The 17,839-nt window shown below is 37.5% G+C and overlaps 1 protein-coding gene and 1 long non-coding RNA gene across 12 annotated transcripts in view; one reads left to right on the forward strand and one right to left on the reverse strand.

Moving 5' to 3' along the window:
• Window positions 1-17,839, reverse strand: part of CTNNA3 (catenin alpha 3) — a 1,851,072-nt gene that overhangs the window by 205,654 nt on the left and 1,627,579 nt on the right. The gene's annotated exons all lie outside the window — the stretch shown is intronic.
• CTNNA3-AS1 (CTNNA3 antisense RNA 1) overlaps window positions 1-17,839 on the forward strand; it is a 65,310-nt gene that overhangs the window by 38,937 nt on the left and 8,534 nt on the right. For 3 of the 4 annotated variants that reach the window (XR_007062172.1, XR_007062171.1, XR_007062170.1), the window contains exons 3-4: window positions 77-236; window positions 2,637-2,793. This is a non-coding gene — a long non-coding RNA (CTNNA3 antisense RNA 1). Of the gene's footprint in view, window positions 1-76; window positions 237-2,330; window positions 2,396-2,636; window positions 2,794-17,839 lie in introns of those variants that run through there. The other variant, XR_946026.3, reaches the window with a different exon arrangement.

A 17,839-nucleotide genomic window follows, 5' to 3' on the forward strand; every position in this document is an offset into this window, starting at 1 on the left:
TGTAATAAGTACAGGTGGCATCTACTGGATTTCATCAGCTTTCCTTATGTCTTTGCTTTGTCCTATTTTTTTTTAGGAACCTCCCTCTCTGTTACTACTCCCTTTGGATTTATCCAGTAGTCTTAGACGTCACCAGGGCCAAGCCATGCATATATAGATTGAAATGTTGTTTTCAAAACCTACTCAAGCTATCTCTTGATGAACAAGATTAGTACCATCTGATTACAACCCTGAAGGTATATGCTAAAGAAAACTAATAATAACATATACTATTCTTAAAATCAATCATTCTTTTTACAACATGACCGAAATAAGTCCCAGGCACTCTTTAGCTATGCTCTGTCCTCTCTTTTGGAATAATCTTTTCTTCCCTTCTAACCGTCACCTTATATTCTTATCTTTCCACCTATTCAAAGTAATTTAGTATGTCAACAATGTTTTTTCTAACATTGTTCTGTCTTAGAACTTTTTCTCCCTGCAGATCTCATCCACTATGCAGAAACCAGTAATAATCATTTGTCTCTGTAAAGGTGACTTTGTTTTAAAATTAGTTTTACAATGAGAGAGCTGATCTACTTTGGAAAAGGATCACTGTTATCAATGTGGCAAGATGAAAAAGCATGCCATATTCTATCTACTTGGTTTAATTGAACCAAGCATCAGCTTGGTTTAATTGAATTAACCGCAATGACTGTGTTTGTGTGTCACACTATTCTTTTTATATTTATATTTATTATTACTATTTTTTAAGAGAGACAGGGTCTCCCTATGTTGCTCAGGCTGACCTCGAACTCCTGGGCTCAAGCAATCCTGCCTCTGTCTCTCAAAATGCTGGGATTACAGGGGTGAGCCACCATGCCCAGCCACACTATTCTTTTTAAATTTAAAGATATAAAACATTGATTTTTATTAAATTTTAAAACAGAGAACTTTTAAATAGATACAGATTACATTCAGCAGGTATTCATGGATTACCTACTATGTATGAAGTACAGTATGCTAGGTATGGTGGGACTGTCATAAATTAGATGAGGATACCACCATTATGAAGCTAATGTAACATTGCCCAAGTTCTGTGTACTGTTTTATTCAAAACTTCATGAATATTGAAACAGTGTTCACATTTTTCTATCAACATACAGTATTATTTGTAAGATGAAATTGTTAAATTTAATTACAAAGTGTTCAGTTTGGTTTGTTTTGCTAGACACCCTACAAGCTGTTCCTATTACTCTCTCTCACTCTAATGTTTACAAATTGTTATAGCTTAGTGCTAAAGTGAACAGCAGAGTACTCTTCAAGATTTTCTAGGATCTTGCAGACAAATGTATACATATATTTTTTACTCCTCATGCTGTTTTATCACTTTTTGATCCCTCCTAGGGGATTAGGCTGTGTAATTGTAAAGCTTTTTTAGGCTTTAACTATGGATTATTTGTATAATGAAAAAATAAGATAACTTATATTATATATTGAACTGAGTAAGGGGTAAATTCAGTCATTCTTAGGTAAAAAGACAGGATAATTAGGTTCTCATTCTTGTTTTTCATTCGTTCATGTATTCAATCAATTTTTTTTATTAAATAAGCACTCATTAATATGCCAGATACTGTGGTAGTTGCTGATGAGGAACCAATAAAGAGCCCATGTGGTATCAAAGGGCTTTCCTGTCTAATATTTATTTATTCTGTTACTCTGGAAAACTTATTTGGCATCTGGTTTCATATATTGAAAAATAAAGATAGCTGTCTCTGCCTTCTTTATGTTCTATATTTTACCTCTTTCTCATTGTAAACTTTGTATGGTCAATGGAGAAGGATGTGGATTCAACTCTGAATATACACTATGTAAGGCACACTTTTCATTCTCGTGTGAAACTAGTTTTATAACTCAGCTCAGAGCACACAGTAGGTTCTCACTAAAAATTTTATCTTCCTTCTCTTTTTTCTTTTCTAAGATGGTAGTGTAGAAGATAAGTTGATACCATGCACATTCAAATAATTAATTTTAAATTATGATAAACCATGGATAAGAAGTTGTGTAGCATTAATCATATTAAATTCCTTCAATTGTGATGTACCTATCTTATAGGGTTGTTGTGAGGAATATATGACAGTAATGTAAAGTACTGAATATAGTGCCAAGAACACAATAAATGCTCAGTAAATATTAGCTATCATGTCATTCTGACTTATGTCAATAAATATTAAGTATACTGTCTAGTTAATACTGTTAGAATTACATTAAATAAATAATGTAGAAAATTTGTCCTGGTCCAGTTATCTACTGACTAGGTGACCTTAATTATGTCTTTTTTTGTTAACTTTTAGAGTCTAGATTCCTTATTCTGCAAAATGGATTTATTGTATCTCAAGGCACTGTGAAGTTTGCAGTAGTAAGTTATATGAAAATTTTTAAAGCATTATGATTATAAATAATATGATTATAAATTGGAGAACAGCTGCTAACACAATTAAGAAATTTAAAAATATTATTGCTTTTTTACTTTCACTCACATTTTGTTTTGTTAGATAATTGAAAACACTAAGAAGTAACTTTTAGAGAAGCTAGGTTGTACCCAGACAGTGAAAGTTTAAATAAGTTTTAAAAACTGAAAACTATTTTCTCTTTAAAAGGCATGTATAGGCAAAAAGGAAAGTCCAAAGAGAGGAAAAGAAAGCAGGAGAGATCTGAAATGACACAAGAAGTGACTCAGAATGGGAAGATTGTGCACTCCTTGTTGTCCCCTAATGCACATGGAAGTATGCAACAGAAGCTGTGAAAATAACCCAGGTGCGAAGGCCAATGGTTTTCATACATTTCAAGCTTCTCTCCGTGATGTCCTTTTCCATGTAAAATCTAAATCAGGTGTCCTATATACATAACATGAAATGGAGATGTAATGCAACTGAAGCTAGGAAACAAAAATCTTGCCTACTAGCCTTCTCTCAAACCAGTGATCAGAACCCTGAGTTATTTCTTTGAGAGACTAAGTACAACACAGAAGCTCAAGCATAGAAATTAAGAGTTAAAATTATGTCAAGTTTCTTCACTGAAAAAGATCCCTATTAGCCTTTGACCTAATTTTGTTAATTTATAATGGAAGTTAACAATCACTAAATGTTATTGCTTATAAATCTCTTTACCTAATTTAAAACACTGCTAGTTGTAGCTAGAAATAGGTATTTCTTTATTTCTTTTAGCTATGTATTCCTTCAAAAGAAGCTCCAGACTTTTAAAATTGCACCACCTCAGTATTTCCTCAGTTTCTTTTTTTAATACAACATACATACACACACACACACACTATCTTATATATACTAGCTTAATAAATCACATGGTATTTTAGAACAGATCAAAACTTGGAATAATCATGTGGGAAAAAAGTTGTAGCCAGGTGCAGTGGTTCATGCCTGTAATCTCAGCACTTTGGGATGCCAAGGCAAGTGAATTGCTTGAGGTGAAGAGTTCAAGAGCAGCCTGGGCAACATGGTGAAACCCCTCTCTACAAAAAATTAGCAAGGCATGGTGGCACATGCCTGTGGTCCCAACTACTTGTGAGGCTGAGTTGGATAGATCGCTTGAGCCCTGGAAAAAGAGGTTGCAGTAAGACCACACCACTGCACTCCACCTGTCCAGCCTGGGTGACAGAGTGAGACCCTGTCTCAAAAAAAAAGTTGCTGAGGTTTACCAACTTTTTAAAATATTTGCTCTTAGACAACCAGTAAAATTGTTTCTGGTACAAAAGATGTTCATGGTTTCCTTCCAATTACAAATTAAAACATATTGCTATGGTTTTGTTATAAATACTTAATCACATAAATGACAACTTCCCACACAACCAGATTGAAACATGACACCAGTGTTATACTTATCAGGCAGAGAATTTAAAATACTACTCTTAATAAAGGCTAGAATGGAAAAACAGATAACAAACAAAAGGTAGTGGGTAATATAAATAGAGAGATGAAAACTCTAAGAAAAAAATCAAAAGGAAATATAAAAATTCAAAATCACTGTAACAAAAATGAAGAGTGCCTTTGATAGGCACATCAGTAGACTAGACACAGCTGAGAAGAGAATCAGTGAGCTTGAAATTTGTCATTACCTACTTCCCAAATTGAAATGTGAAGAGAAAAAAAATTACTTAATAAAGAGCATCCAAGGAGTGTGGAACAATTAGAAAAGGTGTAACATACATTACATGTAATAGAAGAAAGAAAAAAGAAAATGAAGCAAAAGAAACATTGAAATGATAATGGCTGATCGTTTTCAGCAATTCATGATGTATAACAAACTATAGATAGATGAACCTCAGAGAAGACCAAACGGGATAAATACCAAGAAAGTACAGCCAAGCATATTATATTCAACTACAGAAAACCAAAGACATCTTGAAGAAGTCAGTGAAAAAAGGATAAGAATGATAGGATACTTATAATCAGAAACCATGTGTAAACCATTTTCATACTGCTGATAAAGACATACCAAAGACTGGGCAATTTACAAAAGAAAGATGTTTAATGGACTTACAGTTCCACATGGCTAGGAATGCCTCACAATCATAGCAGAAGGCAATGAGAAGCAAGTCACATCTTACATGGATGGCAGCAGACAAAGAGAGAGCTTGTGCAGGGAGAACTCCTCTTTTTAAAACCATCAGATCTTGTGAGACTCATTTACTATCATGAGAACAGTGCAGGAAAAACCTGGCCCCATAATTCAATCAACTCTCACCAGGTTCCTCCCATGACATGTGGGAATTGAGGAGTTAAAATTCAAGACGAGATTTGGTTGGGGACACAGCCAAACCATATAATTCCACCCCAGCCCCTCCCAAATCTCAGTCCTCACATTTAAAAACCAATCATGCCTTCCCAGCAGTCCACAAAAGTCTTAACTCATTTCAGCATGACTCAAAAGTCCACAGTCCAACATCTCATCTGAGACAAGGCAATTTCCTTCTGCTTATGATCCTGTAAAATCAAAGGCAAGTTAGTTACTTCCTAGAAACAATGGAGGTTCAGGCATTGGGTAAATACAGCAATTCCAAATGGGAGAAATTGGCCAAAACGAAGGGGCTACAGGCACCATGCAAGCGTGAAATCCAGCAGGGAAGTCAAACCTTAAAGCTCCAAAATGATCTCCTTTGACTCCATGTCTCGCATCCGGGTCATGCTGATGCAAGAGGTGGGTTCCCATGGTCTTGGGCAGCTCCGTCCCTGTGGCTTTGCAGGGTACAGGCTCCCTCTCGACTGCTTTTATGGGCTGGCATTGAGTGTGGCTTTTCTAGGCACAGGGTGTAAACTGTCAGTGGATCTACCATTCTGGGGTCTGGAGGATGGTGGCCCTCTTCTCACAGATCCACTAGACAGTGCCCCAGTAGGGACTCTGTATAGGGGCTCTGACCCCACATTTCCCTTCTGCACTGTCCTAGCAGAGGTTCTCCATGGGATCCCCACCCTGCAATAAATTTCTGCCTGGACAGCCAGGCATTTCCATATATCCTCTGAAATCTAGGTGGAGGTACCCAAACCCAAATTCTTGACCTCTGTGCACTGGCAGGCTCAACATCATGTGGAAGCTGACAAGGCTTGAGGCTTGCAACCTCTGAAGCCATGGCCCAAGCTCGACATTTGCCCCTTTATTCATGGCTGGAGCAGCTGGGAGGCAGGGCACCAAGTTCCTAGGCTGCATACAGCACAGGGACCCTGGGCCTGGCCCACGAAACCACTTTGTCCTCCTAGGCCTCCAGGCCTGTGATAGAAGGGGCTCCCATGAAGACCTCTGACATACCCTGGAGACATTATCCCCATTGTCTTGGTGCTTAACATTTGGCTCCTCATTACTTACGCAAATTTCTGCAGCTGGCTTGCATTTCTCCTCAGAAAATGGGATTTTCTTTTCTATCGCATTGTCAGGCTACACATTTTCTGAACTTTTATGCTCTGCTTCTCTTATATAACTGAATGCCTTTAACAGCACCCAAGTCACATCTTGAATGCTTTGCTGCTTAGAAATTTCTTCTGCCAGATACCCTAAATTATGTCTCTAAAGTTCAAAGTTCCACAAATCTCTCTAGGGCAGGGGCAAAATGCTGCCAGTCTCTTTGCTAAAACATAACAAGAGTCACCTTTGCTCCAGTTCCCAACAAGTTCCTCATCTCCATCTGAGACCACCTCAGCCTGGATTTCATTGTCCATATCATTATCAGCATTTTGGTAAAAGCCATTCAACAAGTCTATAGGGTGTTCTAAACTTTTCCACACTTTCCTGTCTTCTTCTGAGCCCTCCAAACCATTTCAACCTCTTCCTGTTACCCAGTTCCAAAGTCACTTCCACATTTTCAGGTATCTTTTCAGCAGCACCCCACTGTACTGGTACCAATTTACTGTATTAGTCTGTTTTCACACTGCTGATGAAGAAATACTTGAGATGGGGCAATTTACAAAAGAAAGAGGTTTAATGGACTTACAATTCCACATGGCTGGGGAGGCCTCACAATCATGAAGGAAGGCAAGGAAGAGCACGTCACATCTTACATGGATGGAGGCAGGCAAAGAGAGACAGCTTGTGCAGGGAAACTCCTCTTTTTAAAACCATCAGATCTCATGAGACTCATTCACTATCACAAGAACAGCACAGAAAAGACCCACCCTCTTAATTCCATCACCTCCCACTAGGTTCCTCCGATGACACATGGGAATTGTGAGAGTTACAATTTAATATGAGATTTTGGAGGGGACACAGCCAAACCATATCACCAAATAAGAGAGTAGAGTAAATTTTTTGAATTGTCAATTAGGAAAAAGAACTCTACATTTCTACACACAGCAAAATTATTCTTCAAAAACGAAGAAGAAATAAAAACTTTCTCAGACAAACAAATCTTGGAAAATTCATCACCAGCACATCTGCCCTTCAAGAAACATTAAAAGAAGTTCTTCAGTGAGAAGGGAAATGATGTGTTAGAAACTTAGATCTAAAAAAAGAACATCAGAGAAGCACTAAATGAAGGTAAAATTAAATCTTTTTTTCTTATTTTTAATTGATCTAATATGTAACATTTGTTCAAAATAATACTAGTAACAATATATTGTATGATTGTAGCATTGAGGTAAATTAAATGAATGATAGCAATATTATAAAGAGTTGAGGGGAGGAATTGAGAATACTGTATTGAAAGATGACCCTACTACCCAGAAAGCAGTTTTATGAAAGTGGACCTAATTGTAAATGTATATTGCAAACTCTAGGGCAAGTACTCAGTTTTTTAAGAAAAGTATAAGTTATATGCTGACAATAAAAAACAAAATAGAAACCATATGCAATGATTAAAACTAGAGAAGGTAGAAAAGAAAAAAGAAATGAAAACAACAGAGGTAATTCATAGAAAACAGAAATACTAATAATCACTTTAAATGTGAAAGGTCTGCAGCATCATTTAAAAGACAGAGATGTTCATGCTTAGAATGGAGTATTCTTCATAAATATAAAGAAATGAACTATCAAGCTATGAGAACACCTGGATGAACTTTAAATGCTTATAGCTGGGTGAAAGAATCCCACCTGAAAAGGCTACAGACTATATGATCCCAATTGAACAGTATGTTGAAAAGAACAAAACTAGAGGAACAGTAAAACAATGAGAGACTGCCAATGATTCAAGGCGAGAGGAGGAGGATTGAATAGGTGAAGCGCAGGCCTTTTTTGACTGGTAAATCAATTTTGTATATATTAATGGTGGATACATGACATACCTTTGTCAAAAGCCATAGAAATTTACAGCACAAAGAGTAAACCTCAATTATGTAAGTTTTGAAAAAATCATTTAGGAGGGCTAGGATCCTAGGAAAGAATGCAAAGTTTGACAACATTATTTACACATGTTCTGATTGTAACAAATAATCTCACTGTATGGGGTATGGAGAGGGAAAAGTTGCTGATCTAATAAACTTTGAAAATTAATGTAATCCATAAGACTGAAGTCAAAAGGAATTACCAGTAAGCAATATGCTGCACTTGATAAAGCTACTTTCCATAAGGGTACAGGTTAATGATTCTCATAATGTTATACTAGTGTACTGAAATTAAACAGTTAGGTAAACAAATGATGGTGATGGGAGTCAGGTTTTTCATTGTTAGAATAGAAGTTTATAGATGAACAAGGGAAGAAGGCTAGAATATAAATTCATGTTTAGCTAAATATAGATACAGATGTAGAAACATTTATGGACATGTGGATTTACCTTAGTTAGTATGCACACATATATTCCCTTGCTCTGTCAGCTGTCACCTAAAAGAAATGACACCTTAGCAGCAACAAGCATGGCTGACACTCAGATTTTGGTTTCTGATACCATTCACCAATAAAGGGGCCAGGGCTCCTTAGAGAAATGCTAATTCTACGACTGGGAAGGAAATATATAGAAAGAACCTGAAGTATTAGATACTGCCAAAAAATAAGGAAGAACTAAAAAATTTAAATCTGCAAGTACACACTGAAAGAGTTGTCAATAGCCATATCTGGAATAATTTGAGCAGTAAAATAAACAAAGCAATATGGAATTCTAACCCAATGTATAAACTAAATATCCATAAGTCCATAGTGATAGAAATAAATGACTGAATATATAAATAAATTGAAGAACATATACAAATATACCCTGAAAAGCAATTCCAAGTAAATTCCAAATAATTCCAAAGTATTATATAGCCTGCCCTCAAGGAGCGGAAAATAACTTCCACTCCTTAACTGTGGGCTACATAGTGACTTCTGTCCAGGGTAGAGTGTAGAAAAGGGGGAAAATGGCCGGGCGCGGTGGCTCACACCTGTAATCCCAGCACTTTGGGAGGCCGAGGTGGATGGATCACGAGGTCAGGAGATAGAGACCATCCTGCTGGCTAACACGGTGAAACCCCGTCTCTACCAAAAATACAAAAAAATTAGCCAGGCTTGGTGGCGGGCGCCTGTAGTCCCAGCTACTTGAGAAGCTGAGGCAGGAGACTGGCGTGAACCCAGGAGGCGGAGCTTGCAGTGAGCTGAGATCGCGCCACTGCACTCCAGCCTGGGCGACAGAGCAAGACTCTGTCTCAAAAAAAAAAAAAAAAAAAAAAGGGAAATAAACTTTATAGTGTAGATACTACAACCTCAGCCAGGTCATCAATGTCAACATCAACAGCAATACCTAATATCAATACTTGAAATGATATGATAAAAATGGTACTTTTTCTCACTGGTCTTCCTCCCAAAACCACATATTCCCAGACTAATCATAAGGACAAACTCACAAATTCCAATAAAGTGACATCCTACAAAATCTCTTATCTGTATTCCTGAAAACTGTCAAGTTCGCAAAAACAAGGAAAGTCTAAGAACTGTCACAGCCAAGAAAAGACTAAGGAGGCATGACTATTAAACGCAATGTAATATCCTAGATAGAGGGCTAGGAAAGGAAAAGGACATGAGATAAATACTAAAGAAGTCTGAATAAATCATGAACTTAATATTACAATGTGCACTTATTAATTTTTAACAAAAGTACTATATGAATGAAGATGTTAATAATAAGGGTATAAGCCATATGGGAACGCTATGTTCTATCTTCTCAATTATTCTGTAAAACTAGAACTGTTTTGCCTGTAATTCCAGTACTTTGGGAGGCCGAGGCGGGCGAATCACGAGGTCAGGAGTTTGAGACCAGCCTGGCCAACATGGTGAAACCCCATCTCTAATAAAAATACAATTAGCTGGGCGTAGTGGCAGACGCCTGTAATCCCAGCTACTTGGGAGGCTGAGGCAGGAGAATCGCTTGAAACTGGGAGGCAGAGGTTGCAGTGAGCTGAGATCACACCACTGTCCTCTAGCCTGGGTGACACAGCAAGACTCCATCTCAAAAAAAGAAAAGAAAAACAGTTAGAACTGTTTTATAAGATAAAGTATTTTCTTAATTCAGGAACTAACAAGGTAGAACATTAACATACAAAAGTTACTAATCTTCATATACACAAACAATAATCACTTAGTCAATATAGAGAAAAGAAAATAATCTGTTTACAAATGCAATAGAAATAACAACTTATTTAAAAATAAATTTGGAAAAAATGAGCTAAATTTCTCTGAGAAAAACTTTCAAATATGCCAGGTCCACATAAAAACCTGCACATATATTTATAGCAGCTTTATTCATAACTGCCAAAAATTGGAAGGAACCAAGATCTCCTTTGGTAGGTGAATAAATAGATATACTGTGGTACATCCAGACAATAGATATTATTCAGTGACACAAGCATGAAAAAAAAGCTGCCAAGCCAGAAAAAGACATGGAAGAAACTTAAATGCATATTACCAAGTGAAAAAAAAAGCCAGTCGGAAAAGGCTACATACTGTATGATTCCAACTATATGACATTCTGGAAGAGGCAAATTATGGAGACAATAAAGATCAACAGTTGCCAGGGCTTAGAGGGAGGGGATGTATAGGCAGAACACAGAAGGCTTTTAGGGCAGTTAAACTACTTTCATTACATTATGATGGTGTTTAATGTCCAAACTCATAAATTATACAACCAAGAATACACCCTGATGTAAGGTACAGATTTTGGGCAAAAATTATGTGTCAATGTAGGTTCACCAATTGAAACAAATGTACCCACTCTGGTGGAGGATGTTGATAACGGGAAAGGCTGTGTGAGTTTGTGTGTGTGTGTGTGTTGTGGAGGCTATCTCTGTAACTTTTATTCAATTCTGCTGTGAACCTAAAAAATAGTCTGTTTAAAAAAAAAACAAAAAACAAAAAAAAAACTTGGCTGGGCGCAGTGGCTCATGCCTGAAATCCCAGCACTTTGGGAGGCCGAGGAGGACAGATCACCTGAGGTCGGAAGTTCAAGATCAGCCTGACCAACATAGAGAAACACCATTTCTACTAAAAATACAAAATTAGCTGGGCGTGGTGGCATATGCCTGTAATCCCAGCTACTCGGGAGGCTGAGGCAGGAGAATTGCTTGAACCTGGGAGGTGGAGGTTGCAGTGAGCCGAGATTGTGCCATTGCACTCCAGCCTGGGCAATAAGAGTGAAACTCTGTCTCAAAAAACAAAAACAAACAAAAAACTTCTATTAAGGTACAGGCAAGCAGCAAGCTACTCTCACATTGGGCCTCTGGAATACTGGCAGGATGAAATTCCTCAACCACCATGGCATTGGAGTTGCCAGGGAAAGCTGCTTAGAGAAGTGGTAGGATCAGAACTCCAGCCAGGGTGGAGCCCAGAGGGTTTGGTGTGGGATTGTCTGTAGTGCAGCATGGCCAGGGACACCCATCACCTTAAGCTCGACTTGCTTCCATAGGAGACTTTAGCCATAGGAGAACTGTTGAACGTGAACTCTGCAGGGCGGTCTTGCCTCTGAGATGGGGTTGATTAGACCTGGGCAACCCTCAGTCTACTGGCCTCTTCTGGGGCCCCAGCCTGGCCGTGCCTGCTTGCAGTGCAGCCCCCAGGTACCTGTGGGTGTCTGCATCATAGCTCCTGCTCTTGTGGACTGCACCTGATAAGCAGAGTGCTCCTGCAGAGTGGCCCCCAAGACACACACCAGGCCATCTGTGTCCTCCCCTCACTGCAGCCTCCCCCAGCCACTGTGCCTGCATGAACACACCATAGGCACCCCCCCACATCACTTAGCCAGTGCCTATGTGTGCCCTTGGGTTGGATCTTGCTTTTACTTCCCCGACAGTGCACATGAACCCTGCACTATGCCATGCCACTACTGCCTGCATGAGGGTACCCCACCACCCTTCTCCCCACCACACCACCATTGTCCTAGGAGCATTGGCAGGCATGAAACCTGCCTGCTTCACCTCTGCCAGCATCCTGCCCCTGTGCCAACACTGCCATCAGTGCTAAACTAGGCACACAGAACAGTGACCTGCCCCCAGCCCTGAGCGGCCACCATGCCAGCATGAACACATGCAGAGGGCACACATAGTCCTGCACCCACCACAAACATACAACACACCATAATCTCTGGGACATAGCTAAAGCAGTGGTAAGAGGGAAATTTGTAGCACTAAATGCCTACATCAAAAAGTTAGAAAGATCTCCAGCTCACAACCTAACATTACAATTAAAGGAACTAGAAAAGCAAGAGAAAACCCACCCCAAAGCTAGCAGAAGACAAGAAATAACTAAAGTGAGAGCTGAACTGAAGACTGAGACACGAAAAACCATTCAAAACATCAACAAAATCAGGATCTGTTTTTTTTTTTTGGAAAAATTAATAAGATAAACTGCTAGCTAGACTAATGAAAAGAAAAGACAGAAGATCCAAGCAAACACGATCAGAAACAGAAAGGGGAATATTACTACTGACTCCATAGAAATACAAAGAATCGGCCGGGCACTGTGGCTCACGCCTGTAATCCCAGCACTTTAGGAAGCTAAGGCAGGAGGATCGTGAGGTCTCGAGTTCGAGACCATCCTGGCCAACATGGTGAAACCCTGTCTCTACTAAAAATACAAAAAACGAGCCAAAAAATGAGCCTGGCATGGTGGCACGCACCTGTAGTCCCAGCTACTCAGGAGGCTGAGGCAGGAGTATTGCTTGAACCCGGGAGGTGGAGGTTGCAGTAAGCCCAGATCGCACCACTGCACTCCAGCCTGGTGACACAGCAAGACTCCGTCTCAAAAACAAACAAAAAAAAAAAAAAAAGAAAGAAATACAGAGAATCATCGGAGACTATTATGAACAACTCTATGCAAACAAACTAGAAAATCTAAAAGAAATGGATAAATTCCTGGACACAGACAACCTTCTAAGACTGAACCATGAAGAAACTGAATCCCTAAACAGACCAATAATGAGCTCTATAATTGAATCAGTAATAAATTGCCTACCAAAAAAAAAAAAAAAAGAAGAAGAAGAAAAGCCCTGGACCAGACGGATTCATAGCTGAATTCTACCAGACACACAAAGAAGAGCTGGTGCCTTTCCTACTGAAACTTTTCCAAAAAATTGTGGAGGAGGTGCCCCCTCTTCAACTCAATCTATGAGGCCAGCATCATCCTGAACCAAAACCTGGCAGAGACACAACAAAAAGGAAGACTTCCGGCCAATATCCTTCATAAGCATTGATGCAAAAATCCTCAACAAAATACCAGCAAAAATCCAGCAACACGTCAAAAAACTAACCCACCACAATCAAGAATGCTTTATTCCTGAGATGCAAGGTTGGTTCAACATATGCAGATCAATAAATGTGAACTAATGAAGAAAACATTCCATGCTCAATGATCACACTGCACAAAGTAATAATTTGTAGACTCAATGTTATTTCTATCAAACTACCAATGACATTTTTCAGAGAACTAGAAAAACTATTTTAAAATTCATATGGAACCAAAAAAAGGCCTGAATAGCCAAGGCAATTATAAACAAAAAGAACAAAGCTGGAGGCATCACATTACCTGACTTCAAACTATACTACAGGACTATGGTAACAAAAACAGCATGATACTGGTACAAAAACAGACACACAGACCAATGGAATAGAGAATAGAGAGCCCAGAAATAAGGCCGCACATCTACAATCATCTGATCTTCGACAAAGTTGACAAAAACAAGCAATGGGGAAAGGACTCCCTATTCAATAAAAGGTGCTGGGATAACAGGCTAGGCATGTGCAGAAGACTGAAACTGGACCCCTTCCTTACACAGTATACAAATATCAACTCAAAATAGATTAAAGACTTAAATGTAATACCTAAAATTATAAAAACCTTGGAAGAAACCTAGGCAATACCATTCAGGACGTGGGAAGGGGCAAAGATTTCATGACGAAGACACTGAAGGCAATTGCAACAAAAGCAAAAATTGACAAATAAGATCTACTTAAACTAAGAGCTTCTGCACAGCAGAAGAAATTATCAACAGAGTAAACAGACAACCTACAGAATTGAGGAATATATTTGCAAATTATGCAAATATTTTCTGACAAAAGTCTAATAGTCAGCATCTATAAGGAACTTATACAAATCTATAAGACAAAAGCAAACAATCCCATTGAAAAGTGGACATGAACAGACACTTTTCAAAAGAAGACATACATGCGTCCAATGAGCATAGGAAAAAAAGCTCAATATCACTGATCATTAGAGAAGTGCATATCAAAACCACAATGAGATACCATCTCACACCAGTCAAAATGGCTATTAATAAAAAGTCAAAAAATAACAGGTGCTGGCAAGGTAGTGGAGAAAAAGGAAAGCTTATACACTGTTGGTGGGAGTGTAAATTATTAGTTCAACCATTGTGGAAGATCTGATTCCTCAAAGATCTCAAAACAGAACTACCATTCAACCCAGCAATCCCATTACTGGATATATACCCAAAGAACTATAAATCATTCTGCCATAAAGGCATATGCATGCATATGTTTATTGTAGCAGTATTCACAATAGCAAAGACATAGAATCAAACTAAATGCTCATCAATGACAGATTTAATAAAGAAAATGCAGTACATATACACCATGGAATACTATGCAGCCATATAAAAGAATGAGATCATGTCTTTTACAGAAACATGAATGGAGCTGGAGGACACTATCCTTAGCAAACTAATGCAGGAACCAAAAACCAAATACCACATGTTCTCACTTATAGGTGGGAGCTAAATGATGAGAACTCATGGACACAAAGAGGGGAACGACAGACACTGGGGACTACCAAAGGGTGGACGGTGGCAGGAGGGAGAGGATCAGGAAAAATAACTGTTGGTTACTTGTCTTAGTACCTGGGTGATGAAATAATCTGTACAGCAAACCCCCGTGACACAGGTTTACCTATATAACAACCTGTACAAGTACCCCAGCACCTAAAATAACATTTTTTTAAAACTCCAGAACATACAAAATGTACTTGAAAAAAAATAGAAAGGCACCCCATGATCTACAAATAAACATCACAAATATGTAAATTCTCCTATGTTAATATAGTTGAATCCTATCCTAATAAAAATACTACAAGATACTTTTCTGGAATAAAACTTGTGGGAAAAATATCTAGCCATGTGCAGTGGCTAATGCCTGTAATCCCAGCACTTTGGGAGGCCAAGACAGGTGGATTACTTGAGGTCAGGAGTTCGAAACCAGCCTGGCCAACATGGCGAAACCCCATCTCCACTAAAAATACAAAAATTAGCCAGGCGTGGTGGCAGCCGCCTGTCATCCCAGCTATGGGGGAGGCTGAGACATGAGAATTGTTTGAATGGGGGTTGGAGGTTGCAGTGAGCCGAGATCACGCCATTGCACTACAGCCTGGTCGACAGAGTGAGAGTCTGTCTTAAAAAAAAAAACAAAAAACAAAAAACAAAAAAAACAGAAGAAAGAGAGAAATAAAGCGAGAAAGCATCTAAGAATATCCTGGAAAAAAAAAAAGTCGATGAAGCGGGATTAGCCCAATTAGAAATGAAAATATACACTAGGTGATCTGAAATCAGTCTATACTGGTTCTCATATCCACAGCACAATGTAACAATAAAAGAAAGTCTAGAAATAAATCTATATTTGGCAGGTAATAAGGATGAAATCTCAAAAATGTTTGAAAAAGGTAGACTTTTTTAAATGAATGAGGTTAGGAAAACTGTATACTCATTAGGCTTGACATAAAATGGATGTGAACAACATACTCTATAGCAGAATAAACTTCACATGAATTTTTAAAAATCTAACTTAATAGAAAAGTAACATACAGAAATAGAAGAACATCTGGATAAATTATTTACATCCTCATTTGGGTAAACTCTAGCAAAGACTCAAAATGCAATGCAATGAAATAAAAGATTGATAAATTCAACTACAGGCATATTAAACATTAATTGAATGACAAAAACACCACAGTCAAAATCAAACTATAAATAATTAGAAGAAAATATCGACAACATGCAACTCCGATAAAAAGCTAATATCTCTAAATGTATAAAAAACTCATAAAAACCAAGAAAAAAGAACATTAAAGTGATCTTCATTTTAAATAAGAGGTATTAAGACTCCACAAATATGTCATTTCCACCCTGTTAGACTAGCAAAAAATTTAAAATCTTAATAATACACTCTGTTGGTGTGGCTGTGGAGAAATAGCACTTTCATGCACTGGTGGTTAGATTGTAACAGTTATTTTTTCTAAGATACAAATCAATCTTTGGCAATTTCTATAAAAAATCTGTATGAGAAGTTCATTATTTGTAGATATTATAGAAAATATTAAAAACAAATTACATGGTTTACTATGTAGTACTAAAAATAAGATGAGGAAGATTTGTATGAGATAATTAGAAGTGATATTCAAGATGTTCAATTAAGTGGGAAAAACAAGTATAAGAATATATAGGTATCAGAAGCATTTTCTGTATGAAAGAAGGAAATTTAAGAATATTTGCTTTCAAACAGAAACATAGGGTAGATAATTAGTCATTAACCAAAATGGTTAACTACAAGATGCAGGTGTGAATGGATGAAAGAATTAAGAATGGGTATCAGACTTGTGCAAGCATGCGTTTGTATCTGTGGTGATTTTTTATTCATATAAAGGTCAAAATGTCACAAAATAAATACACATTTTTAAGACAGCAAACCATAAATTAAATATAAAAATAAGAATTGATCCTAATAGTTATTAACAGAGAAAAACAAAGATTTAAGTCAAGGAAATTTTGATCACAGTACTCTGTACACTCTTGGTTGGAAATATTATAACAAAAGAATCTTGAACTTTACATGGTAATGGTACTGGTAAAATGATTCTGAAAATATTTTGTGTGATTGTAGATAGAGTGAATGTTTAAAGATATTGTTGTATTGGAGAACTAGAATTCTTAATGTAAGAAGAGATACTGAACTGGAATGAAAAATGATAAGAAAATATTCTTGATCTTATATTTGAATAAGAGGTATTATTTTTCATAATGCAATATTTCTTAGCTAGTAACAGTAAAAGAATGACACCTCAATTGCAACAAAAACACATAACACCGAGGTTTTGATGACTAAATATAATTCTTCACTACAAGGAACTAGAACTGTTTGGAGATATGGTTCTTTCTGGCTAAGGTAATGTGTGCAATGAACGTTGAATATTTTGTTGGGCGAGAAGGCAAAAAAACTGCCCCAAACCTAGAGATCATGACTAAAAACACAGAGAAGCTAGTTTAAAAGTTCTCCCCTAAAAATGTTTGGGACAAATTAGCTAAAAAAATTAATGATTTCAGTAGTGTTAATGTATTAAATCATTTCATCAATCCCATCTGTAACAGTGAGAGAGAAATTGAAACAGCTTTTCTTTGTAGAAAAATCACAGCTAAAACATATAGAAAGAATAAAATAAAATCACTATTTTGCTACCAGTAATGTACTAATTGATTAAAGCAAGAATCATCAATGGATGCTAAATTCATTAGGTAAAAGTGTTGTTGAACAACAAGGATGTTACTATGATCTCTAAGTATCCTCAAGCAGATAATTAAGAACAAAAGAAAAAGTGTTTCTTCACAATGCGGAGATATTGCAGACACCGCCTTTACTAAGTAAAACCTATCTATCATTACTGAAACAAAATAGCTTGCATGCACTGGTGTTCTGCTAAATGTTTAACAATTGACTCTAAAACACATGCATATAAAAAGGGCAAAATGCTTATATAATATTTACAAATATTAATAGAAACGATATGTAACACAATTTTTTTTTTTTTTTTGAGATGGAGTCTTGCTCTGTCGCGCAGGCTGGAGTGCAGTGGTGCGATCTCAGCTCACTGCAAGCTCCACCTCCTGTGTTCATGCCATTCTGCAGC

The sequence above is a fragment of the Homo sapiens genome, chromosome 10 (assembly GCF_000001405.40).
Source record: "Homo sapiens chromosome 10, GRCh38.p14 Primary Assembly".
Lineage (NCBI taxonomy): Eukaryota > Metazoa > Chordata > Mammalia > Primates > Hominidae > Homo > Homo sapiens.